This window comes from Homo sapiens, chromosome 1 (genome assembly GCF_000001405.40).
Source record: "Homo sapiens chromosome 1, GRCh38.p14 Primary Assembly".
Taxonomy (NCBI): Eukaryota; Metazoa; Chordata; class Mammalia; order Primates; family Hominidae; genus Homo; species Homo sapiens.
In genome coordinates this window covers 167092048-167118783 of record NC_000001.11, presented here as the reverse complement: position 1 = coordinate 167118783, position 26736 = coordinate 167092048, and the positions used below count along the sequence as shown (strand labels likewise).

General features: G+C 42.9%; 1 protein-coding gene across 2 annotated transcripts in view, besides 1 other annotated feature; it reads right to left on the bottom strand.

The window, feature by feature from the left end:
* The window catches only part of STYXL2 (serine/threonine/tyrosine interacting like 2), a 35091-nt gene extending 10382 nt beyond the window's left edge, over window positions 1-24709 (bottom strand). Inside the window, exons 1-4 of one of the 2 annotated variants that reach the window (NM_001080426.3) lie at window positions 24590-24709; window positions 23825-23950; window positions 4980-5074; window positions 1225-1456 (exon numbers count right to left, since the gene is read on the bottom strand). In NM_001080426.3, the coding sequence (NP_001073895.1) occupies window positions 1225-1456; window positions 4980-5074; window positions 23825-23934 (437 nt within the window). In that variant the 5' untranslated portion in view covers window positions 23935-23950; window positions 24590-24709. The remainder of the gene's footprint in view (window positions 1-1224; window positions 1457-4979; window positions 5075-23824; window positions 23951-24589) is intronic. The other variant, XM_011510146.3, reaches the window with a different exon arrangement.
* Window positions 14878-15172: a silencer, noted in NCBI's record as "tiled region #8817; HepG2 Repressive non-DNase unmatched - State 22:ReprW, and K562 Repressive non-DNase unmatched - State 21:Repr". NCBI's record gives its function as "represses a minimal TATA promoter and a strong SV40 promoter by Sharpr-MPRA in HepG2 and K562 cells {active_cell/tissue: HepG2 | K562}" and the evidence as "EXISTENCE:reporter gene assay evidence [ECO:0000049][PMID:27701403]".
* Window positions 24710-26736: the final 2027 nt, after the last annotated feature.

The window sequence follows — 26736 nt, the reverse complement described above, 5'->3', positions numbered from 1 at the left end:
TATTCCCATTTGAAGATTATAAAACTCAATCTGAGAGCTCTTATAACTTCCCAAGATTGTGAAAGGAGAAAAAGACAACAAGAACTAGTGTTTTAGATTTCTAGTTCAGAGCTCTTTTTGCTGTAGCTGAATAAGTGCAGCTTAGTTTGAAGAGGCCCTGAGGACAGGTTGTCCGAGAAGGAACAAAAGCTTTTAGCTGAGGATACCTGGCGATGCCTGGGTTCTTAGTGACCGTAAGATGAATGCTTCTGTATCTGAAGATCTATTTAAAGATCACTTAAGACTTGGTGCCCAGCTCTGAGGATCAAGTTCTAGGCAACTGATTACTCCTTGGTGAAGATAAGACCCACTGTTCAAAGCTGTTTTCCCTATTCCCTCCCCTGAGGCCAAATTTCCTCCTTTGCTTCTGGATATCTGGATAATTACACTGGGAAAACATCTCATTAAGTATTCGATGAGTCAGCAAAAATTTGTTTCACTAATTAACCAAGTGGTCGCAATTATGCACTGGCATCCTAAAGAAATAGGATGTGAGTGAGTTGTTTTTGTTCTGGAAACCGCTGATAAACTTTTAGAAAATAATAGTTTTTGGATTATAAAAACAATGTCTACCTTAGGAAACCTGTACAAGTTAAAGGAAATCTAAAGAAGAAAATAAAAACTGCTTGTAAAAACACCTCCCAGAGAGAAACATTGTTCACATTTTCTCACATTTCCTAACTGTTGTCTATGCAAAAACATGCACACACATACACATACATCTGTTGCTCAATTAGCAGCACACTGTACATGTCTTCTCTTGTAATCTAATTCTTTCTTACTGTATTGTGAACATTTTCCAATGTTGGTAATTACATATGCATGTCAGTATTATTGTCAATGGCTCCTAGTGTCCGGTTCTGTGGTAGCTACAGATGTCATGAGATGGTGAAGTCGGCAAGACTCTGTGGCAGGAAAGGAGGCCCAGAGGCCTTCTTGAGGGACAAGAGAGTCCTGGCAAGAGGGCAAAGGATAAGCAGTCATGGCGGCATCTTGCCTGGAGACCTCCGAATGCAGGTGGATGGAGGGGCCTTTCTCTGGGCTGGGGCAGGGTAAGTGGCTAGGCAGCCTCATTGTGCTGGATGGACCTATGGGCGCCTTTGGTGAAAGTTGGGGGAGTTTCGTCTGTCTCAGGCACTAACCAGAGGGTTAGGACAAAGGGTCATGAAGAGCAGTCAGACTCACTTCTCAGCTATGAAGACATTGGGCCAGACCTCATCCACCTCATTCCAGGGCGCCTCTTGGCGATCCTGAACCAGGGCCCGCTGTAGGTCCAGGACACAGGGCGTATTATAGAGGCTGGTGTCATCCATCTTCTCCCTGACGCGGTTGTACAGGTCCTCCACCAGCAGCTGTTCAGCAGACTCCAGCATGCCTGGACACTCTGCGTCTGCTCTGACCCCCGGTGGCTTGAGTTCTAGAGGAGACAGGCAGCATTCTCATCAGAGAGTTAGGAACATCATGGCCTTCCTTGTTCCTGGGGAGAACATGCTCTTGGCCAGTTTGCTGCCAGGATTCTGGGCATGGACTGAATGCCAGCAGGATCTCCCAGGAAGGACTTTAATTGGGCCCAGGGTACCTGCTGCACTGGCCCAAACACTTGTAATCAGGGTCAGCAAGAAGACTGTATAGATGTGGGTAAAGGGGATCCAATTTCTTTTACTCCCTCCCATGCTTCTCTGAAGCTGGTCGATAATTTTTTAGACCAAGTTCCTTAAGTATTAGGTGTACTTTGATTCATACTTAATAACTCCCACAGTGCCCAGTACAAAGTGGATGCTCAGAAGTGTTTACCAGCCAGGCGTAGTGGCTCACGTCTGTAACCCCAGCACTTTGGGAGGCCAAGGTGGGCAGATGACCTGAGGTCAGCAGTTCAAGACCAATCTGACCAACATGGTGAAACACTGTCCCTACAAAAATACAAAATTAGCCAAGCGTGGTGGAGAGTGCCTGTAATCCCAGCTACTTGGGAGGCTGAGGCAGGAGAATCACTTGAACCTGGGAAATGGAGGTTGCAGTGAGCTGAGAGCATGCCATTGCATTCCAGCCTGGGCAAAAAGAACGAAACTCTGTCTCAAAAAAAAAAAAAAAAACCAAAAAAAAAAAAGTAGAAGTATTTACCAAATGAGTGAATGGCATTCATTCATAGTATAATTCACTCTGTTAGTTTGACTCTTTTACATATGGATTGCAAATAACCCTGGGAAAAGTAAAACTTTCAGCAGTAATTTATGCAATATTGCCTTCTAATATACACCTAATTTACTGATTTATTTCTTGTATTGTCTTCTTCCCCCTACTAGAATGTAAGGACCTATGATTCTCAGCCTCCCAGCCCACAGACAGGTGGCAAAGGTTGGCCATGAGCTCTCATTCTAATCTCAAAACGTGACTCAGGGCCTTTCTGACAACAGGTCAGAAAAGCTCAAACTCCAGATGAACTCAAACCCCAATTCACTCACATCTGGGGTGAATCTTTATCTTCTAATAATATATTTGCTCACAGTTTATCAAATTTGGGGAAATGTAAGATGCTTTCTTTCTTTAAGTTAGACAAAAATAACAAAGAACAAAATCGTTCCTCTCACATGGTAGCCAAAATACTGAATAGAGAGAGAGAGAGAAAAGAAGCTGGAAAGATGTTTCCTCTGTGTTCCCCATAGCCTCTTGATGGCACCATCTCTTCCCTGATGGGCAGTCTCTGGGTGGGGGCTGCAGAGAGTCCAGCCACATTTGGAAGGTAGACTTGGTCCAGCCCCTCGTGGAATCTGCTCCTCCCAGGGGTCTGTAAGCAGGGCTTGTTGCTCATGGACTGCAAATCCAGGGAGCCTTGGGTTCTGCCTAGGGCTCAGGATTTCATTTCCCTTCTCTCTTCCCTCCTCTAACCCCCCTGAGGGACCCCCACATCCCTGCATCAGGGCTCAGCTCTAAACGTTCTCTGATCTCCGTTTCAAACGCAGAAAGAAGAAAACTCCTGCAATCCCAGAGCTCTATTTTGTTTAAAAATAGATGAAGTGTTCCTATTTTCTCCACTACCCAGTTTTCTCCCCTGGCTCTCCTGGGGTCTTTCATAGCAAATTCAGTCCGCTCCCCTTCCCGTGTCTACTTAGATGTCTTTCCCTTACTACATATAAAAAGTGGGACTCCTGACACCTCATTAAAATACACGGTGTTGTCTTCCTCGGCTATTTATCTAGCAGGTTGTTGTTTCCATTTCTTTTCTTTTCAATTTAAAAACAAATGTCCCAGCCCTTCACCCCTGATGGCAACTCCTGCTTTCACTAGGTCTCTGGTTCACACTTCAGCCTCTGTAGAGCTTGCCTCTCTCCCTGCATCAATTTCTTTCTATTACCTGACATTTCTTCAGCAGAAAGTAAAGCCCACACATTTCTCCCCTACACTCTCGGATGTGTGGCATATGCAGACTTTCATTAAAACGGAAGGTTTTCAGCACACATTTTTACCCCTGTAATCACTAGTGAGCATATATTGTTTTTTCTCTCCCTATAGCCCTTCAGCCACTAAGGCTAATGAAACTTAGGTTTGATGCCCCCAGAGAAGGGAAGAATAGAAAAGAGCCAGGATAAAACAAGGCATTGCACATCTTTTGGCTTCAAACTAGACTGAATGTCCATAGCATTCTATAGACTTGAAAGTGAAGCTTTCAAAGAGAGAAAATGTTTTTTATTTTTTTTCTCCCCTCAATTCCTAAAGCTGGACTTTTACTTATCAAGAACCAAAACATGGAGAATGGTCCACAGAATGAAGCACAAAGCAGAGATGATGCAGAGTGGAAGGTTAGGGAAATTTCCAACCACAAAAGAGGAAGAAAAGACTTTCTAGAGCTATAGTGGTGCTGGGAGCAATTCAGAGAGAACTGGACCAGGGTGAAGACACTGCCTGGGTTAGTGGGCAAGATATCTTGGGACAAGATATCTTGGAGCAAGACAACAGAGACCCCAGGTATGGAAGAAAAAGAAAAAAAATCCCCCAAAGCAGATGGGTCTTTGAGAAGATGGGGCCTCCTAGAGTGCCCAGAACAGTGAGCAACAGCAAGTCAAATTTCTGGTTCTATGTGAAGTGTGCAAGAGGTCCAAATGTCCTCTAGAGACCCTGGTGGAGACCCAAATGGGTCAGGGGACCAGTACCAGAGTTAGAATGGACAAAGAGTAGCATGTGATTCTAATAATGAAAGACCAAGGAAAGGATTGTGGCCACCAGCGGTGGTTGAGAGATTAAGCCCAAAGGCCAGCTGGGCCCTGCTTCATCAGTGTGCACTTTATCCCACTCCACCCCATCTCACCAGAGTTGTGAGGCTACCCAGGGAGAAGGGAGAAGAAAGGGGAAGAAAGAAATTGCAAAAGATTATTTCCTTAAAATTGATTAGAAAAAAATTCATCTAATCCAGATAAGTATCTTTGAGTGAAAAATAACTATATGTTGTCTGCTTCAAAATTTTACTGTGTAAATATTAACATATTGAATATTGGGTGCTCCCCACCCAAGCCTTTCCCTCCTCCCCATGCATCCTTCAGTTTGAAGCATCTTTAAGCACTGGTGGAAGTGCAGGTCTAAGTCTAGACTCCCTTGGAAGAGAACCCTCTGGATGCTTCTGGCCATTTCTCGGGCTCTCAGGTCTGTGCCTCTGCCATAAGCCACCTCAGGACCCCTGAGGTAACCAAAAATTGAGCAGGAGGCCCTAGGGACAGATTGGTGCTGCCTCTCTGGTTGTCCCTGTTCACACTGATGCATAATTATTTCCACTTCCATCCTATCAAAGTTGAGGAGGTAGGGTTGGCAGAACTGCCTTCTGCAGATCTGCTCTTCCTAACGTGATGGGCAGCACCTGAGAGGCACATTGACGTCTTCCAATGGCCCCCCTCTAAGGGTCTCCAGATGACCACTGGACTTTGCTTCCACCCAGCTTTTGATTGCATTACCTTCATTGATGATCTGTTTGGCTGCAATGGCTGAGGAGAGGTGAATGGGTTCCATGAAAATGCTTTCTGTTTCTGCATCTGAGACCATCGAATACCTAAGGGAAGAGGATATTCACGTGAGATAAGCCTGTAGCATCTGAACTGAAGGCATTCTTTTAGATGAGAAACCTGGCTTTGATTTTAGCAACAAGTGGGGAACAACGAGTGATCAAGGCAAAGCCTTCCTAAGTTTAAGGACCCAAGAATACAGAACACTGGGTATCATGTGACTCAGATGCCCACCCATTTTCAGATCACAGTTGGCACTGATGGTGTGTGATGTTTAATGACATGGTGGTCTATGTTGTGGAGGCAAGAGCGTACATCTACGCTTGGGGGAACCCACCCTGATGTGGCTTCACTTTCTTGGATGTCCCGCTGCTCATTTTAAAAATTTTGTCTCCTTTTCCTCTGCTATCAATCTACAGGGTGTCCTTAATTTTGCCTCTGCCAGTCTTCTGCTGGACTGCTGGGCTGAATAGGTTGCCACCACTCTTTCTGTTCCCTTTGTTCTCCATTCCTTCTCCCTGTTTGTAAGGGAATGGGCTAATGATGAAGAACTGGCATAGCACCAAGTGCAATGCTAAAGATGAACTCAAATGCACGGGTACTGATTCTGAGCACATGAAATCGAGAGTCAGGTTGAGCCCAGGGATGCAAAGAAAGTAACTTGGGTAAATGTCATGGCAATTTCCCAAAAATAATTCGGTGCAGTTGTCAAAAAAGACCTTTAGGAACATGGAGAATCTACAGCAGACACAAGACCTGGGACTGCACTATGGCGGTGGGGATGGGACCACACCATAGTTCACTAGTAAACAACTTTCTAGTGAGTTGTCCTGTTCTCCAGGTGTTCAGATGAGCTTTGGGTCATTTTCTTTTTTCTGCTTAGTCTTTCCTATAGGTCCATAGAGGGAGGATTTAATGGATACCATTTGTGAGTGCCTTCTATGAATTTAATTCTGACAAACCCTCCACAAATTAGGTATTATTTTTATTCCTGCATTACCGATGAGAAAATTGTGGCTCAGAAAGGTTAAGAAAATTGCCTAAGGCAGTAAGTAAATGGCAGGGCTAAGTTGAGAACATAGGGCAGTCCTGCTGTAGGTCCAGTGTTCTCTCCACAATACACAGATACCATTTAGATTAGAACAGGGAGGTGGATTGGTTGGTGGAAGCAACCCCAGCTGGATTCCCAGACTCAATGCAGACTTTGACAGGTAAGTACTTAAGAAATGCTTTATGGGAAGCCTAGATGCATGCATCAGATGAATTATGCTGAGTAAAGTTGAGTTGAGCAGAATCCCGATGAGCTGAACAAAGCTAACTTGAGCTGAGACAAGTTGAGATTGAATTAAGTTGAATTGATTAGTAGAACAATTCTCTCGTGCATCCACAACATCAGAGTCCACCCTAGGGAGAATGGTGTGCTCAGTGTCAGCAAGCCCAGTGCTCTTGCCAGGAGAAAGAAGTAGCCTGGGACTCTACCCAGGACATGGCCAGACCTGCCTAGGCAACCTCAGGGACAGCATGATGTGGCATCATCATCCATAGTATCTGAGAGTTTTCTGATAGCAGTTGTGCTGGCTCATTCCTATTCTAGCACCAAGTACTCCTGTGACCAAAAATGCATTTTCAAATATGTATGACTGCGGAGTGGGGTGGATTAAGGGTGAGCTTTGTTCACTAGAGGCTGCATGGGCGGGTCTGGCCATATCCTGAGTAGATTCACAGGCTACTCCTTTCTCCTGGCAAGGTTATTTCCTTCTCCATGGCCTGGCTGACACTGGGCACAGCATTCTCCTGAAGTTGGACAACAATTTGTGGATGGTTACTACAAAATAATTGTTCTGCTAATCAACTCATTTTTTTATATTTCAGTAGGTTTTTGGGGAACAGGTTTGGTTACATGGACATGTTCTTTAGTGGTGATTTCTGAGAGTTTGGTGTACCCATCACCAGAGCAGTGTACACTGTATCCAATGTGTAATTTTCTATCCCTCACCCCCTCCCATCCTTCCCCTCAAGTCCCCAAAGTCCATTGTATCATTCTTATGCCTTTGCCTCCTCGTACCTTAGCTCCTACTTATAAGTGAAAACATACAATGTTTGGTTTTCCATTCCTGAGTTACTTCACTTACAATAATGGTTTCCAATTCCATCCAGGTTGCTGCAAATGCCATTATTTTAGACCGTTTTATGGCTAAGTATTATTCCATAGTATATATATATATTTGTGTGTGTGTGTGTGTATATATATATATATATATATATATATATATATATATATATATATGTACCATATTTTCCTTATCCACTTGTTGACTGATGGGCATTTGGGCTGGTTCCATGTTTTCACAATTGTGAACTGTGCTGCTATAAACATATGCGTGCAAGTATTTTTCACATAATGACTTCTTTTCCTCTGGGTAGATACTCAGGAGTGGGATTGCTGGATCAAATGGTAGATCTACTTTTAGTTCTTTAAGGAATCTCCCTACTGTTTTCAATAGTGGTTGTACTAGTTTACATTCCCACAAGCAGTGTAAAAGTGTTCCCTTCGCACCACATCCATGCCCACATCTAAAAGTTTTCCAAACTTTTAGATTTCTCTTCTTTCTCAGGAACACCGATTATTCTCAGGTTTGGTCATTTAACATAATTCTAAATTTCTTGGAGGCTTTGTTCATCTTTCAAAAATTCTTTTTTTCTTTGTCTTTGTTGGATTGGGTTAATTTGAAAACCTGGTGTTAGGAAAATAAAAACAAGAGAGCAATGGAGAGAAAGCATCTCAATGGCCAAACAGGTTTATTCACAGGAATAAGCCTGCAAGGGGTTTCCGTCAGGAATCTGGTGGAGACCCTGATAGCTTAAAGCTGAGGTTTTTATAATAAAGTTTCTACAAGAGAGGGGTTGGGGAAGTGCTGGAAGGTTGGAACTGTAAGGGGCTGGGAAAGGATGTGGTAAGGGCCAGTCAGTCTTTGTTGTGGTCAGGATTGTTATGCTCCGTTAAAGGTACCGGTGAGGTTGACATTTGCTTTGTTTCTGGAAACACTGTCACCAAGGTAGAAAACACAATCACCAAGGTGGAAAAATGGCATTACTATTGTTAATTCTCACACCTTGTCTTTGAGCTCTTAAGTTCTTTCTTCTACTTGTTTGATTTTGTTGAAACTTTCCAGTGTATTTTGTATTTCCCTAAGTGTGTCTTTCATTTCCAGAAGTTGTGATTTTTTTGTTGTTGATGCTATCTATTTTTCTGGAGTTTGTTTTGTTCATATCCTGTATTATTTCTCAAATTTCTTTAAGTTGATTTTCACCTTTCTCTGGTGCTTCCTTGAGTTGCTTAATAATTGATCTTCTGAATTCTTTTTCTGGCAATTCAGAGATTTCTTCTTGGTTTGGATTCATTGCTGGTGAACTAATGTGATCTTTTGGGGGTGTTAAAGAACCTTGCTTTGTCATGTTGCCAGAATTGTTTTTCTGGTTCCTTCTCATTTGGCTAGACTATGTTGGAGGAAGGATCTGGGGCTCAAGGGCTACTGTTCAGATTCTTTTGTCTCATGTGGTGTTCTCTTGATGTGGTGCTCTCCTCCTTCCACTAGAGATGGGGCTTCCTGAGAGCTGGACTGCAGTGACTATTATTGCTCTTCTGGGTCCAGCCACCCAGTGGAGCCACCAGGGCTTCAGGCTTGTACTGGGGAGTGTCTACAAAGAATCCTGTGATGTGATCGACCTTCAGGTCTCTCAGCCATGGATACCAGTAACTGCTCCAGTGGAGGTAGTAGGGGAGTGAAATGGACTCTGTGAGGGTCCTTGGTTATAGGTTTGTTTACTGCACTCGTTTTCTCAAATGCTGGTTATGGTAGCAGTGAAGTTGTCATGTGGACAGACTCAGGACCTCTGGTTAGCCAGGATGTTACAGATGATAGAATTAGCTGTTGTTTTCTCCTTTCTTAGAGCAGCATTGTTCTTTTATGAGTTGTTGTAATGGCTTGAGCTGGTTGACCTCCAGCCAGGAGGTGGCACCTTCAGGAATGCATCAGCTGCGGTAGTATAGGGGGGAAACAAACTTGTCCTAAGGTCTTCTGGATAAATATTCAGGTTTCTCAGGTGATGGGTGAGGCCTTAGAGCTTCCAAGAGATTATGTCTTTTGTCTTTGGCTACCAGGGCATGTAGAGAAAGACCATAAGGTGGGGGCAGGGTTAGGTGTGTCTGAGCTCAGACTCTCCTCGGATGGGGCTTGCTGTCGGGGATGGAGGGTGTGGTTCTCAGGCCAAAGGAGTTATGTTCCCAGAGGGATTGTGGTTGCCTCTGCTGCATCATACAGGTTGCCAGGGAAGTGGGGGTAAAGCTGGCAGTGGGTGCCTCACCCAGCTCCCACACAGCCAGCAAGGCCAGTCTCACTTTCACTGTGCCCCACCAACAGCACTGAGTTTATATTTAGGCAGCCGGTAAGCAGGGATGAGATCTTGCCCCAGGCTATAAGCCTCCCTGAGGAGAAAGCAAGCAGAGCTTTCAGGCCCTGCCACTACCCCACTGTGGTGGCTTCTGTGCTCTTGTTTGCACTTCCTGTTTGCCATTCCCCCATCCCCATTCTGCCCTGGACAATTTACACTTGGTTGAAATTATTACAAAGTTCAGCTGGAAGTTTCCTTCTCCCTGTGGTCCTTCCCCAATACCCCTGGCTGCCCTCCCCAAGGACCCCTGTGAGATAAAGTCAGAAATGGCTTCCCTGGGGACTGAGAGTGCTTACAGGGCTCTTCCTGCTGCTTCTTCTACTTTTATATGTTTCTCAGCTCTCTAAATTCATTTTACCTCTAGGAAAGGTTAAATCCTTCTCCTGTGATCTGGATTTTCAGGTTCCCCAGTGAGGATGTGTGTTTGGAGGCAGACTTTCCCCCTCTCACACTTTGGGCATTCACAGTTTTTTGGCTATCTCATGATGTTTGCAGAAGCAAGCTGCTTCTTTGAAAGGGTCTGTGAATTGTTTCAGTTTTCCTGGTATGTTCCTGTGGTAGTTCTTGGAGCAAAGGTTCATGATGTGAGTCTCTATATGCTGTTCTGTTCATCCAAGTGGGAGCTGCAAGTTAGTCCTCCCTCCTATCTGCCATTTTTCCCCCCCATAACTCTAATCAACTCAATTTAATTCATTTCCAAATTATTTTGGATGTTAAAACTAGAGAGGCCTTTAGAGATCTCATTGTTTGGTGAAGATAATAGAGTTTTACGATAGCGGTTGTGTTGGCTCATTTCCATTCTAGCACCAAGCATTTTCTGTGACGAAAAGATGCATTTTCAAACAAACGTTATTGGGGAGTGGGGGTGGATTAAGGGTAAAGTTCATGGGATATTATCTTTTGGTGTTAAAACTAGAGAGATCTTTGGAATCTCATTACTTGGTGAAGACAGTAAAGACTTAAACACCTAGTGGGGGTGGCAGTGAGCTCTATAAAGGTACAGATTAGGTGGATTAGGTGGTCTTATTTACCTGTGTCTCTAGCAGATGGAGGGTGATCAGTCAGGGTTTGATGACTGAGTGAGTGGATGTACAGACAGATGGGTAGATGGATGAAGAGCTGGATGTCTGGATGAATGGATGGACCATGGTAAGGCTGGGCCAGGTGTCCACATACAACCTAGGGGATCAAACCTGATGATTTCCAAGGGCCTGTAGTCTCTGGCCCTTCCTCCTCCCCAGCCTCAACTTGCACTGGGTTCTCTTTGGCTCACTCCTTTCCAGTACACTGGTCTTCTTTTGGCTGTCATTCTCACCAAGTTCCTCTCTGCCTAGGGACTTTGTAGAAGTCCATTTCTGCAGCCTGATGGTTAGTCCTCTCCTGCTTCCCTCATTTTTCAGATTTTAGTTCAATCGTCCCTTCTTTAGGGAAGTCTTCCTTGATCTTGCACCATACACCTGTTTTTATGGCACTTCTATCAGATGTGATTTTACACTTATTTATGAAATCATTTGATAAATATTGGTCTCCTACACTAGATCATACCCTCTATGAAGGCAAGGACCATGACTGGGTATTTTGTTGACCATTGTGTTCCTAGCACCTAGGAGAATGTCTGGCACACAGTAAATGTTTCATAGATAATTTCTGACTCACTGACTGAATATGTCTTCAATAGAACTATACTTAAGGGAATGTGGCAGTTACAACAATCAGCAATAAGATCTATCAAGTGTTTGCTGCATGCTCATCATTTTACTGGGACACCAGTAGTAAGTCTCAAAGCAAAAGCAGGATCTTGGCTGTGTCCTCTCCATGCCTACTCTCTGCCCTTCAGAGGCCAAGAGGTATACAATATCTGAGGCCTATGTTAGCAATTAGTAATTTTTTCTTATGGTAGAGTAATGGTCACCCCAGATCTGTGATACTCTTTGCCTAGAGAGGTGGGGTCTATGTCTACTGCCCTAGAATCTGGGTAGTCTCTGTGACTACTCTGACCAATAGAATACAACATGGTGGAAGTGATAATTGATCAGTTTTTGAACCCACGTCTTGAGGGAAGCTTTCCTTCTTTGGGTCTTGACACTCTTTTTCTGGGAACTCCTGAGCTGCCATATAAGAAGTCCGACTACCCCCAGAACACCAAGCTAGAAAGGCCACTGGTCAACAGTCCCTGCTGAGCTCCCAGCCAACAGCCAACCATGTGAATGATCCTCTTAGAAATGGACCTTGCAGCCCATCAGGCCACTCCAGCTGATGCCATATGAAACAGAAAAACTGCCCGGTCAAGTCCTGTCCAAATTCCTGACCCACAAAAAGGGGAGCAAAATGAAATTATTGTCCTTAGTCATTAAGTTTTGGGGTAATTTGTTAAGCACCAATAGATAACAGGAATAGTGCTATTCCAAGGGCTAGGAAGCAAGTTTTAAGCAAATGCTTAGGCACTCTTCTCCTCAGTAGTGATACACAACCTATAAATATCAGTGACTGAGGCAAATATGTTACAGATGGGAAGCAACAACAAAATAATGCCAATATGGTAGAGCAAACCTTGCCTCTATAACAGACCTGGTGGACATTCTGAGCTCCAAGGGTTCAGGACAGCTAGTTTTCATATGACAATATTTCATAAAACTAGAATCAAAGCCCCAGATTTTATATAAATGTGAGCAGTCATATTTTCCATTTCAACAATATTTATTAAGGGAGTTTTATTATTTTATTTTTCAGTAATTAATACTATTTATACTCCTATTAACAAAACATTAATCATTTTATTTATTAAGGGTCAGTATTATGTAAAATGAGGTTTGGGGCAAAACCAAACCAAACAGATCCATGTTGAGAATTATTGTATTACTGTAGGGATTACAAGGCCTTCTTCCTTGCACAGCACCACATTTCTCCTACTTGGTCCGTTTTCTTTGTTCCTTTGTGTCCCAAAGAGGCTTTCTCACATCTCTAATCAGTATTCCAAGCAACTGATACAGACTGAAAATAGACACAGGAGGCGCCCTTACCTGTCAGGTGTGCAGAAAGGCCTTGCAAGGAACTCAGCAGGTGGGACTGCCAGGATCCTGGCCTGGGATTATCCATCCGGGAGCACTCCATCCTGCCACTTTCCCTAAATAACGTTGACTTTAAATTGTGAGGATTTGGTTTTAAATAACAAATACTGAGAATCAAGAATCTGTCCTAAATATACCTACACTCTGAGGCTGTGGGTTTGATAGGGGAGAATTTGAAAAGAGAAATCTCTGTGAAACATCTTTCCTTCTAATGGGTGGTAAAGATTGAAGTTCGGCTAATGAGTCAGCAAACCTGAGAAATCATACGTGAAGAGCCTACCCGGTATACTCTTGAGAAGCTGGCAGCTTTGTAAATGAGAAAAGAGGGGGGATGAAGAACAGATTTCCTCCTCAGCCCCACGATGTTTCTGTCTTTGGCTGCTGATGCTAAAATGTGAGCAACATTAAACTCTGCTCCGTATTACCCAGTGTGGAATGTACAATGTAGATTACAAATGCTTTTACGAGTCAGCCGCCATGAGGGGGAGATGTAAACCTAATAGTCATAAAACTGTTTGCCACAGACACGGTTTATTAAGTCTAATAAAGAAAGGTGTGGGGGCAAGACCTAAAACGGACGCTTGTTTTCCACAGAGAAGGAGGACTGCAGAAATAGAAAAGAGGAAGGAGGGAGAGACCTGAACAACTGGCCCTGTTTATATTTGCAAGGTCAGTGAGATGGCAGCCCTAGAGGTTTTGATTTATGACTATGTCTGTGTCCCAACTGGCATACCTGAGATGGAGTGAGATGACACTCACACCCTGATTAGAAAGCAGTGAGGGCTGGCTGTTCAAGAAAGACAGGCAGGGAAAAAAAGGACCTAGGATCGATACATACCTCATCATAGGATCAGGAAGCAGCTGCTAAAAAGCCTTGAGGCTGAATTGAAAGAGGAACAATAAAGGGGAGTTTGATGGACTTCCTAACCAAAAGCCGGAGAGTGGTGCAGCTTGCTTTAGACCTGCGTTTTTCAAAATTGCAGACTGACCAATCCATGTATCATAAAATCAATTCAGTGGGTTGTGTTCAGCATCTGGGACAGAAAGGAAAAAAGGAAACAGAAAAAAAGGAAGGAAGGAAGGAAAGAAGGAAGGAAGGGAGGGAGGGAAGGAAGGCAAAGAGGAAGAAAGGGAGGGAAGGAGGAGGGGAAAGAAAGGGAATAGCACCACCCATTGTAAGGATAAGTGTAGTTTTGTGAACTTTTAAAAATTTATGTATATGTGTATATATCTCTGAGTTGAGATGCAAATGGCATTGTCATAGTGCAGATTATAGTCAGCAAAGTTTGAAAGCCGTTGCTTTAAACTAGTTGCCTGCTGTCCAGACACGGAATGTAGTGGAATTGGGGTCCTTCAGCCCAGACTTTCCTATAGCTGATCACTTCCTGTCAAGGAGTCCCTTGGAAGTGAAATGGAGGTAGAGGCCCAGGAGGAGGTGTCTTTCTTGATTGGGCTTTTGCAAAAAAGGACAAGGTTTCTGAGCTCTAAGTTTTCAGTGACTTCAGAGAAAATGACTACACACAGGCAAAGTTCAGGCTCTAAGGAAGAAGAGAAGTCAGTAAACGGAAGAAAATAGATTTTTAGCAAGCTGCTTCCAACAGGCTTAGTGAAAGAGCTGAGGTGGAGAAATTTTCACCAAAAAAGAAATGTAAAGGAGAAAGGATGGACAGGAGGAGCCATTTCCCAAAGAAACATAACGAAAACACAGAGAAATTACACTTCATGCCCCTGTCTCCTACCACACCCACCACAGATGCTTGCTCGCCACAGGAAGGGAAAGGAGAGCACAGTTAAAGAAATTCACTGAAGGTCAAGGGAAACAGTGTCACCGTGACAGGAAGCCTGATCGAGCCTTACCAAGCAGTTCTACAAAACTGCGAAGTCTTGAAAAGTTCAGATCTAAAAGCCAAAGCAAGGAACGGATTTTGACTTGGAAAGATATAAAGTCAAGTAGAAACCATTCTTCAAATCAGGAACAAGAGAATGATAAAAATGCCTTTGCTCCTTTAGTTGGAAAGAAGAGAAAACTGATGATAATAGCTAAGAAGGAAGAGACGGGGGGTGGGGGGACGGGCAGAGGTTGGTTTGCATTACAAGCGCACTTACTTCTTTTTTTTCAAGACAGAGTCTGGCTCTGTCCCCCAGGCTGGAGTGCAGTGGCCCAATCTCGGCTCACTGCAAGCTCCGCCTCCCGATTCATGCCATTCACCTGTCTCAGCCTCCTGAGCAGCTGGGATTACAGGCGCCCACCACCACACCAGGCTAATTTTTCTATTTTTAGTAGAGACGGGGTTTCACCGTGTTAGCCAGGATGGTCTCGATCTCCTGACCTTGTGATCCGCCTACCTCGGCCTCCCAAAGGGCTGGGGTTACAGGCGTGAGCCACCGCGCCCGGCTGTGCACTTACTTCTTAGGCTGTATTTGTTTAGGTGACTGGGAAGGCCTGACGGAGACTATAGGTAAGGGAGAAGTCCCCACCAAGCTCCCCCACTGACAGGGGGTTTTAAATTTCAGTGTCAACTCATGAATCACTTAGGGAAATTTGCCTAGCTGTGAGATGGATGAATCTCTAACCGCCCATTTTCTTCCAGAGAGTGACTCATAGTGGCTAGGTTTGAATTTAAGGTGTTTGAAGTTAGTGCCTAACTCAGGCAAAAATGAAGATTTGATACCCCATCCATTTTCTACACCCCTTTCTCAGATTCTTAATTCACCCTAGGATGAGATTTACAGATGAGACTTGAAATGTTAAGACTCCCTGCCAGGACAGCAAGCAGGGTACATCCCTGCTAATTTTGGCTGGCTGCTAGTGGCTGTTTGGATCACTGGGTGAAGTTTTGCAAGGCTCTGTTCTAGTTCCACAGGAAAGAGTAAAATTCTGTTTCCTAGGGGCTGGATATAGGGCTGTAGTGAGTTGAACGGTGCCCTCCAAAATGGTATGTCTTCCAAAACCTGGGAATGTAATCTTTTTTGGAAAAAGGATCATTGCAGGAGTAATTAAGTTAAAGCTTTTGAGATGAGATAACCCTAAATTAGGATGGACTCTAAAGCCAGTGGCAAGTGTCCTTATAAGAGAAGAGAAGACAGAGCAGACGGCCTTTTGAAGGAGTGGCAGAGATTGGAATTATGCTGCCACAATGCAAGAAACGCCCGTAGCCAACAGAAACGAGCAAGAGACAAGGAAGGAGTCTTCCCTAGAGTCTTTGGAGGCTGTGTGGCTCTGTCACCAGCTTGATTTCAGACTTCTGGCTTCCAATATGTGAGAAAATAAATTTCTCTTGTTTTTAAGCTGCCTAGTTTGTAGTAATTTGCTGTGGCAGCCCTAGGAAACTAGTACAAGGACTAAGAGTCCGGTGGTGAGGTATTTGCTGACTTGGTGCGTAATTTAACTTAAAGAAGACTTAAAATTTAACTTAAAGACTCAAACCTTTACCTGAAGTCATAAAACCAGAAGGATGGAATTTCAGGCACTTATCAAGTACAAGGAGGACTGTTCAGGATGGGGACAAATATCAGTAAGTGATACTCTGCTTCTTAGAATACAGGATTTGCTCATGGCAGAATTAGAGAAGCATGATGTCTTAATCAGTGTGTGTGGGACTCTGGCTAAATAAAAATTTCTTGACATGATGAGTTACTGAAAAAATTTTGTTGTCAGATATCTTTTTCTGGAAGGAAAAGGTATGAGAACCAGCATTTATCAAATACCTAGTATACCTTTATATATGTTGTATTATTTATTCTCTACTCCTGGGTAAAACTGGTATTCTGATTTTTTTGATTAAGTAATTTAAGCAAGCTTTCAAGGGTTTATAAGTAGGAGGGCAGGTCTGACCTCAATTTTGGTCTCCACTGCACCACTTAATTTCTTTCCACAGTATCATACTGCCTCCTAAAAGAGGGTTTTATTTATCTTTTATATATATATATATTTTTAAAAAACAGCTTTATTATTGATATACAAACTGCACAAATTTAAAATATACAAGATTTGACATATGTATACATCCGTGAAGCCATCACTGCAACCAAGGTCACATCATCCCGTGTGCCCCTTTTTAAGCCCTCCCTCTCACCCCCTCCCTGCCCTATGCCCCCCAGGCAACCATTAAACTGCTTTCTGCCACTGTAGAGATGGGTTTGCATTTTCTAGAATTTTATATAAATGGAATAATATAGTATGTACCCTTTTTTGTCTGACTTTCAAGCAGTGTAATTATTTTGAGATTCATCCATGTTGTTGTATGAATCAATAGTTCATTTCTTTTCGTTGCTGTATAGTATTCCTATGTGTAAATGTGACACAATGTGTTTATCCATTCACTCGTCATTGGACATCTAGGATGTTTTTAGGTTTTTGGCTATTACAAATAAACCTGCTATGAACATTCATGTCCCAGTCTTTGCATAGACATAGGCTTTTTTTTTTCTTTTTTGAGATGGACTGTCACTCTGTTGCCTAGGCTGAAGTGCAGTGGTGCAATCTTGGTTCACTGCAACCTCCACCTCTCTGGTTCAAGTGATTCTTTTGCCTCAGCCTAAGTAGCTGGGCTTACAGGTGCCCACCACCACACCCAGCTAATTTTTGTATTTTTAGTTAAGATGGGGTTTCACTCTGTTGGACAGGCTGGTCTCAAACTCCTGACCTCAGGTGATCCACTTGCTTCAGCCTCCCAAAGTGCTGGGATTATAGACATGAGCCACTGTGCCCTGCAGACATAGGCCTTCATTTCTCTTGAGTATATACCTAGGAGTAGAATGATGGGATCATGTAGATATAGGTGTGCATGTTTAGGTAGATGTATGTTTAATTTTGTAAGAAACTGAAAAACTGTAAAATGGACTATTTTACATTCCCACCAGCAGTATATAAGATTGTCCCAAGTACTCTACATTTTCCACCAACATTTGGTATCGTCAATCTTTTTAATTTCAGATATTTTAATAGTAATGTAACGGTAACTCACTGTGGTTTTGATTTGTGTGTCCCTAATGATTAAGGATTTTGAGCATCTTTTCATGTGCTTATTTGCCATCCACATATCATTTTTGGTGAATATGTATTCAAATCATTTGTCCGCTTTTTAATTGAGTTGTTTGTTTCCTTATTAGTAGGTTGTGGGAGTTTTAAAAAATATATTCTAGACAGAAGTTCTTTATCAGATATGTAATTTGAAAATATTTTCTCCAAGTCTATAGGTTCTGTTTTCATTTTTTAAAAAGCACTGTAGACTCATTCATCTGAACTGGTTTAGGTGTGGTTCTGTGAAGTAAAGTGGGATCGATTGGATGATAGCTCCAAAGCCTGTGCAAATGTAATAGTTTAGAGTTCAGATTTTATGAGGCCATTGTGGGAAGAGATAGCCTATGAAGTGCCACCACATGTTTGCCTTCCTTGAGAATTTCTGAAAAGGGCTAGATGATTTGGGATAAGTTTCTAGAAATCAATTGCTGAGTAGTATACACAAACCAAGAAGCGCATTAAAACCAACAGGATTCAGCAGCAGTCACTGCAAATCCAGAGAACATTTGCTCTGGATGTGGGGCCATGTTTTAAGGAAGTTCAGCCCATTGTACAGTAAAGTGGGTCTTTCAGGTTGAGCCTGTTTTTGCCTAGGAAGGGAGAATGGCTGCTGAAAAGGCTAAGGACTGAATGCCTTTGCTTCAGTGCTTTTGTCTTGTGGTAGGCTAAGGTGATGTAAAATTGTGAAACCAGCAGAATTAATCTTCCCTGCGTCCTGTTTCCCCTTTCGGTGATTCCCTTCACCCCTGCCCCTTTGTGTCATATTTGTTATTTGCCTTCCTCAATCAACAATCTGAGAAGCTCAATCACCCCAAAGTGATAGGCAGTTAATAAAATACGTATTTCCTAGGGCAATTCTATGGTTTGTCCTCACCAAAACTCATGTTGAGGCTTGGTCTCCAATGGGGTGGCATTGGAAGGTAGTGTCTTAAGAGGTGATTAGGTTGTTAAGAGAGAGGAATGCTTTTCTCATGGGAATGAGTTCTTGCTCTTGGGGGACTGGATTAGTTACCATGAGAGGGGGTTGTTATAAAGTGAGGCTGCCTCTTGCATTTGGTCTCTTTTGCACATGCCTGCTCTCCTCTTTCACATGCACTCATGCTATGTGATGCCATCTGCCATGTTATGAGGCAGCATGAGGCCCTTGCCAAATGTGGCCACTTGATCTCGGACTTTCCAGCCTCCAGAGCTATGAGCCAAATAAACCTCTATTCTTTGTACATTACCCAGTCTCAGGTATTCTGTTATAGCAACAGAAAAGAGACCAAGACAGGCAGTTTTTAAAATAAATATATATGCCAGACTCTATTTATCTAGCCTACTGCTAATTGGACAGTTCATCATGTTGTTTATACATCCTATATCCTTAATGACTATTAGTTGCTAAACATTATAGTATTTATCTTCTGGTGCACATATGTAGTTGTTTTTGTTAAGTATTTATGAAGAGTGAGCCTGCTGGGTCAGAGGACAACCATATGTTTAGCTTTAGTAGATACTGCAAAATAGTTCCAAATGGTTGTACTAATTTACACTCTCACCAGCAATGAATAGGAGTTTTGATTGCTTCACATCTTCATTAATATTTGCTATTGTTGGTATTTAGTTTGAGATATTCTGGTGAGTATGTAGTAGTATTGAATTGTGATTTTAATTTGAATCCCTGATTTTAAATTTTTTAATTGATCTCTACCTTTATTCTTCTATGTTCAGATAACATGTTCTGTATTATTTCAATCACTAAACATTGGTTGATATATGTATGGCCCAGTATATGATCTATTTTGACAAATGCTCCATGTGTACATGGTAAGAATGTGTATCCTGTACTTGTTGGGTGCATGTTCTATAAATGCTCATTAGGTTAATTTTATTTATTGTTTTATCCAAATATTCTTGATAATTTTTGATATTCTTATTAAAAATGATTCTTTTGATTTTTTTTATTTTATCAGTTGCTGAGATAGTTTTAAAAAATATACATACAGTTGAGGGAGATTGTGGCTTTTAATTTTTCATTCAGTTCTGTCAGTTTTTTGCCTTATATATTTTGAGGCTGTGTTATTAAACATAGAAATTGAAAATTATTTTATCTTTTTGGTGAATTGAACCTTTGATCATTATGAAGTGTCTCTTTTTGTCTCTTTGTATCTAGTAATGATTACTTTAAAATCTGCTTCACTGGCTTGCTTTTGCTTACTTTACAATATCACCTTGGTACTTCTCTGATGGAGTGATGAAGTTTATGTTGCCTCCCCTTGAAACTTCATGGACATTTGTGTCAGCAGAGTACAGCAGAAGTGGTGCTATGTAACTCCTGAGGCTAGCTCATGAAAATTAATACACATCTATCTTATTCTCTTGGATGCAACTCTTGGAATTTAGCTACCATGCTTAGAGAAAGCCCAAAGTAACCCACATAGAGGGACTATCTTAGGTATTCCGGCCAAAAGCCCAGGTAAATTTCAACATAAACTGCCAAACGTGAAGATGCCTCTGTGAGTCACCCTCAGCCTTAAGGCATCTCCAGTCTTCAAATCTCTCTAGCTGAGACCTTGGACATCATGGAGCAAAGACAGGCTAACCCCACTGTGCCTCATCCAGGCTCCTGATTATGAACATAATAAAATGGTATTTTATGCCACTAAAATTTGAAGTTATGAGCAGTAGTAACTGAAACAGTGTAGTATAAATTTTTTATTCTTTGTTAACTTTTGTATATCCTTATTTTATTTTTTGAGACAGGGCCTCACTTTCACACCCAGGCTGGAATGCAGTGGCATGGTCATAGCTCACTGCAGCCTTGAATTCCTGGGCTCAAGCAATCCTGTTGCCTCAGCTTCCTGAGTAGCTGAGGCTACAGGCATGTGAAACCTTGCCTGGCTAATTTCTTAAAAAAAGTTTGGGCCGGGCGTGGTGGCTCACATCTGTAATCCCAGCACTTTGAGAGCTGAGGCAGAGGGATCACAAGGTCAAGAGATCGAGACAATGCTGACCAACATGGTGAAACCCCGTCTCTACTAAAAATACAAAAATTAGCTGGGTGGGGTAGCTTGCACCTGTAGTCCCAGCTACTCTGGAGGCTGAGGCAGGAAACTCACTTGAACCCTGGAGGCAGAGGTTGCAGTGAGCCAAGATCACGCCACTGCACTCCAGCCTGGCGACTGAGCGAGACTCCGTCTCAAAAAAAAAAAAAAAAAAAAAAAAAAAGTTTGTAGAGACAGGGCCTCACTATATTGCCTAGTCTTGTCTGAAACTCGGGGCCTCAAGCAATCATCCTACCTCAGCCTCCAAAAGTGCTAGAATTACAGGCATGAGCTACCATGACAAACCTATATCGTTATTTTTAAGGTGTGTCTCTTGTAAACAGCATGTAGCCTTTTTAAAAAAATTGAGTTTGACCATCTTTGTCTTTTAATTGGAGTATTTAGTCTATTTACATTTAATGTAGTTATTTATATATTTGAGCTTAAATCTACCATCCTACTATTTTCTTATTATTCTTTTTCTTTCTTTTTTTTTTAACCTATAGTTTCTTGTGGAGACAGTTGTTCTTTTTCTGTATTCTTTTTCTCTACTTTCTTTTCTCCTTTTAGATTGATTATATTTTATTATTTTATCCACCCTTCATGAGCTTGTTAGCTATACACTCCACTGCAAAACTTTCTAACAATTACACTACAAATTACAACATGCATCTTGGACTCCACACCCAAATTTACAGTTTCAGATAACCTCCCAAGATAACTATCATTAAACGGAGACAAAAAGGCAAATGAATGAATCAGGATTGAAAACTATATCTAGGAAAGAACTTTGAGTGTGGTTAGTAACACATGGATTTGTCTAATCTACATAGATCATAAACCTATTGAGTTTTTGAAAGGGTCGTATTTTCAAAGAAACCAGGAACTTCCAAAAGCTTTTGCATGGCATAAACCTTAAAACAGTCCCAGAGCCACCAAATTTTCATAAACAGGACACAGTCTGCAAAAGCTATACAGCCTTCAAGGAAGACATGTCTTCAACGTGGCTATGGAGGATAATGGACAAGCAAGACAGCTAGGAGGGCAGAGCTAGAGGTCAAAGAGAACAATAGACAAGGGTATTTCTCTCAGAGAGACAAATCAAGGTCAAATCTAGGAGGACTCCTCACATCCTGGGTCAACATGTTCATTAATGATATGACAGCAGTATTTCCTCTTCCTCCTTTTATAAAATGGTAGCTGTTTTTGGCAGTTATCCTGATCCGACCATAATGTGTTGCATTCAGGCCTGAGGGACAGAATGCACACCCATTGGAGAACCTAGCCTGGAACTACATATGCAGCAGTTGGTAAGTGGGATTTTGAGTTGCCTCACTTAGGAGGCAGTAAACATGTTCTATAGGTGGGGAAAAAAAAGATAACATGGATTGACTGACTAGAGGAGTACATTGTGGCTGAGACTGCTATTATCGACACACTGATTTCCTCTTTTTCTTGGGCTCATGGGCCTTATTTCCCATCCTTCTTTGCAAGAAAGCATGACCTTGCTGAGTTCTAGACGATAGAATATGAGTGAAAATGAAGTGACCATTTTCACATCTGGACCATAAAACCTCCTGGGAAATTATCCGTGCTTGTCTCCATTTTATGTTAATACTGATGAGCATTGTGACTTTAGAAGCCATGCTTTAAAGTGGTGAACCTTCAAGACAGAAGGAGTCTTAGTTCTTGAATCACTGCTCAGGTACCTGTTTTGGAACTTATTTGAGCAAGAAAGAAATGTCCTTTAGATATAATAGCTAGCATTACTCTTAGCAATACACGAAACTGTCACCTATCCCAACCACACACGAAGCGACCTCTGCCTTATTCGGGGGTATACAAGAGAGGAGGACCTATGTTAAATCTCTCAATCCTGAGAGTTTTCCTAAGTGGGACCATAATGCTGAATTTTCTTTTCTTTTTTTTTGAGATGGAGTCTCGCTCTGTCGCCCAGGCTGAAGTTCAGTGGCGCGATCTCGGCTCACTGAAACCTCCGCCTCCCGGGTTCAAGTGATTCTCCTGCTTCAGCCTCCTGAGTAGCTGAGATTACAGGCACCTACCACCACACCTGGCTAAGTTTTGTATTTTTAGTAGAGATGGGGTTTCACTATATTGGCCAGGCTGGGCTTGATCTCCTGACCTCATGATCCTCCCACCTCGGCCTCCCAACATAATGCTGAATTTTAAAGGAGAAGTCTCTAAGCTCCATTTGGGCGAAGTGCCCTGGCCCATGAGTGCTGAGCACCTGCCCTCATTCCTGTCTTACTCCACTGGGGAAGCCTTTTGACACAGGAAGCAGGAGCCAGCAAGATCCCAAGAGCATCAGAGAAAAGTGAAATCAAGCAGAATGATAAATTCTTAGAGGGGAAGTTAATTTCAGATGTTTTAGTTAGGCGCTTCCAACTAAAGGCTCAATCACTTCAGTTATTCTTCACACCAATTTGGTGACAGAGATGTGATTAAAAGTCAGGTCTCCTGTTATGATTTATGACAGAAGAAAATGGACAGGCACACACAGTATTGTTTTAGCAGGCAATTAAGCACGACATTTCTTTAACGTCTCGTGGTTTGTCTTAAAATGTTATGCACATTTTTTTCATTCTACATGATAACATAACGTCGATGATTTTAATGTAAAAGAAAGTTTCAAATTACTTGTGGTAAAAAGAGGACTCTCCAGGAAGATGCCTCATGCCTCTTGGCATCTTGCCACTTGCCCCAGGCATGCACATGTCCCAGTTTAAAAGACACAGCTTGATTATGGATAAAAAATTATTTTAGTGCTAGGGAATGCTTCCATGGGCTTCTCCTCTCCTCATCCCTTTTCTTATAGTCTACGGCCTGTCATCCCCATATCCAGCCCCAGTCCTACTGAATCAAGCAGGGCCAAATTCCTACTCATCCTCTGAGGTTCGGGTCCATCATCATCTCTTCCAGCCAAGCCTCCTATGACCTTCCAAGTCCAGTTGTTCCCTTCCCTATTGTCTAGTCCACCACATACTAGATCCTGGTCATATTAATATCTAGCACACACCTGCCACATTGCAATCAGTCTATTTGCATATTTACCTCCTCCAGAAAGTAGGACACATACAAGTACTCAATAATATTTGTTAAATGAGTGAACCGAGGTGATGGCTGCAGGCTCCCTGGAGCTAATGGCCCAACCTGTCCCCAGCCCCTCCCAGCTGGGGCTGTGAGGGTGGGAGATAAGTGGTCACTTACTGGCTAGGGGAGGGGCTTCGGAGGTAGTGGGCCTGCACCGCCCTCACGTTGGCTTCGTCCTCCTCGCTTGGGACTACCTGCTCCTCCTCTGTGTCCTTTCTGGTCGCCATGACAACCTGCCAACCTCTGAAAGTTTGGCAAGAAAAAGGCAGTTAGGGAATTAGGTTCCTGAGGTTTTGTTGGGGGAGAAGTTGTGTTGGTGATGTCACCTCAGTGGAACTAGGACTAGGAAGGTCCCGGTGGGCAAAAGACCAGCAAGGAATATCCAGTCAGACCTGGCCCAGCCACTGTTACCGGGACACCAAGAAGTGCACCCCGCCATATTAGGAGCCCACCTTGAAGTGACAATATTGAAGTGCCAGTGTGGCTCCTTCCACAGATGTCAGCAAGGGAGCAGGCAGAGGAGCCAGCAGGTTACCTGATCTCAGCTCAAAAAGTTGAAGAACAATGACTTCCCTGGACCAGCAAGATTTTTCAGTTGAAATTATAGGATGTGCATACACACACGCCCCTCACCTATGCCCATGCGCACACCTTTGTCTCTGCTGGGGAAGACACAGCTGGCCTTCGGTGTCTCTAACCAAGGCCACAGGAGGTAGGGCCTTTGGCTCAGGCGTCATCCTGGAGCCTATTAAAGGACATGAAGGATACCAGCAGCTGGTCCCAGCCATCATGGTTGTGCCCTGACACTCAGGGCAAAGCCGCTGCCCCTTGTATTGTAAGTCCTGGGCTCACCAGGATTGACAAGGGGAGAAGCACACTCACCTCTAACCTGCCTGGATGTTCCCCACCAAGGGCTGAGGGACCCAGATGAAATGACTGAAGCTGAAGCTCCGGCCAGTGAGACAGGAACCAGCCACCTCCTTCCTCAGGGCTTCTTCTCCTAGGGGCAGGACAGCTGTTAACAGGAAACCTTAGCCACCCTCTAAATTTAGCCTCTGGCCCCATAGGCTGGCAGATTTCTGGGAGGAAGGAATGCAGGCTCTGGACCCAGGCCCCAAAGCAGTCCTCACTTAACTCTTTCCCTCCTGGCTGATTCTCCAGACGCTTACATTTAGCAGCAGAATTGGAAGACGTTTGTGCTTGGTAGATGGAGAATCTAAAGAACAGCTTTTCTCTGGGTTCTCTCTTCAGACCCTCTTGCCTGGGACAGCCTATTCAAAGTTCTTCCAGAAGAGAGTCTAAATCCAAAGATATAGAAGAATAAACAAACTTACCACAGCCGCATGTCAACTAGAGAGGCCTAAAAAAAGGACCAGATATATAGAATGGAAAGGGTACTCAACAGATAGATATTGGGAGAGCACTGTGGTACAATTAAAGAGTAGTCATTGCTTGTGACCAGGATTACATTTCTTTTTCTTTTTTTTTAGACAGGGTCTCGCTCTGTTGCCCTGGTGAAAGTGCAGTGGTGCCATCACAGCTCACTGCGGCCTCAACCTCTCAGGGTCAGGTGATTCTCCCACCTCAGCCTCCTGAGTAGCTGGGAGTACAGGCACATGCCACCACACCCAGATAATTTTTAAATTTTTTGTAGAGATGGGGTCTCACTGTGTTGCCCAGGCTGGTCTCGAGCTCCTGGGCTGAAGTGATCCATCCACCTCCGTCCACCAAAGTGCTGGGATTACAGGTGTGAGCCACCGTGCCCTGCCTGCATTTCTTTTAATAGACATGTCTCAGGATGGTCAACTGGACAGTTGTGCTCACCCTCCACATTTCCTCCCCTCTACTCACACCCCAAGGTGATAATGGATTGGCAACCCTGGGTGACTTAAGAATTCCATGAGCTTCATAAATGTCAAATAAGCTGTCTTACCCTACTAACCCCTCTACCATCACAATGATCAAAGCAAAGCCAAATAGCCCACACCTCTCATCCCACACATACCATAGTCATCCTTTCATCCATTTATCCATCCATTTACCAACTTAAAATATTCATTGATTACCTACTACATATGACACTTTACTTGACCAAAATTGGCAAAACACATAGCTTAAAGTTGTCTTTCTTCCTAGTTAGGTGGAATGATGCCTGGTATATCGTATCATTAGAAATGGCTGAATGAATGAGCTCACTGTTTATTAGGAGGAATGAGACACAGACCAAAAATAACTCAAGCATAAGAGAGAATGTAGTTAGTGTCCTAAAAGAGATCCAGAGTGCTGTGTGAGTTCAAAGGTGAGAAAGAGCCCTTCTGACTGAAGAAATCAGGAAAGACTTCATAGAAGCAGTGGTGATATATGAGCTGACTTCTAAAGGACAAGTAAGATTATAATAGCAGATATAGTAGGGGAAGGGAATTACCGAGGGGGTGGCATCAATAAAGTTTTGGGGGTAAGGAAGTATGAGTTCTGGGTATGAAAATATGTCTAACTTGGTCAGAGCATAAATTACGTATTCTGGAAGGTAGACTGTGTTTGAGAACAAATGCTAGAATACCTTAAAAGCTAATTTGTTAGGTTCTGCAGAGTCAGTGATAGGACCCAAGCAGACAAGTAATTAGGAAGACTAATTTGGCAAAGATATTATAAAATGTTGGGGCTGAACAATTATTACATATAATAAGAGAATTAACAAGGTGCCTGAGTGAAATGTAATAAACAGAAAACAACAAATTTTGTATGTCAACCAAACCTAGCAGTCAAAAGGATTAATAACAATAAGTCATGTAGGATACTATGAATTCATAACACAAAGAAATGCTAGGGGAAATATTTGCAATGCTTATCACATCCAAAAGTTCCTTTCCCTAATATACAAAGATCTGCTAGAAGTCAACAAGCTAAAGATCAACAGCTCAATAGAAATATGGCCAAACGGCTGGACGTGGTGGCTCATGCCTGTAATCCCAGCATTTTGGGAGACTGAGGCAGGATTGCTTGAGCCCAGGAATTCAAGACCAGCCTGG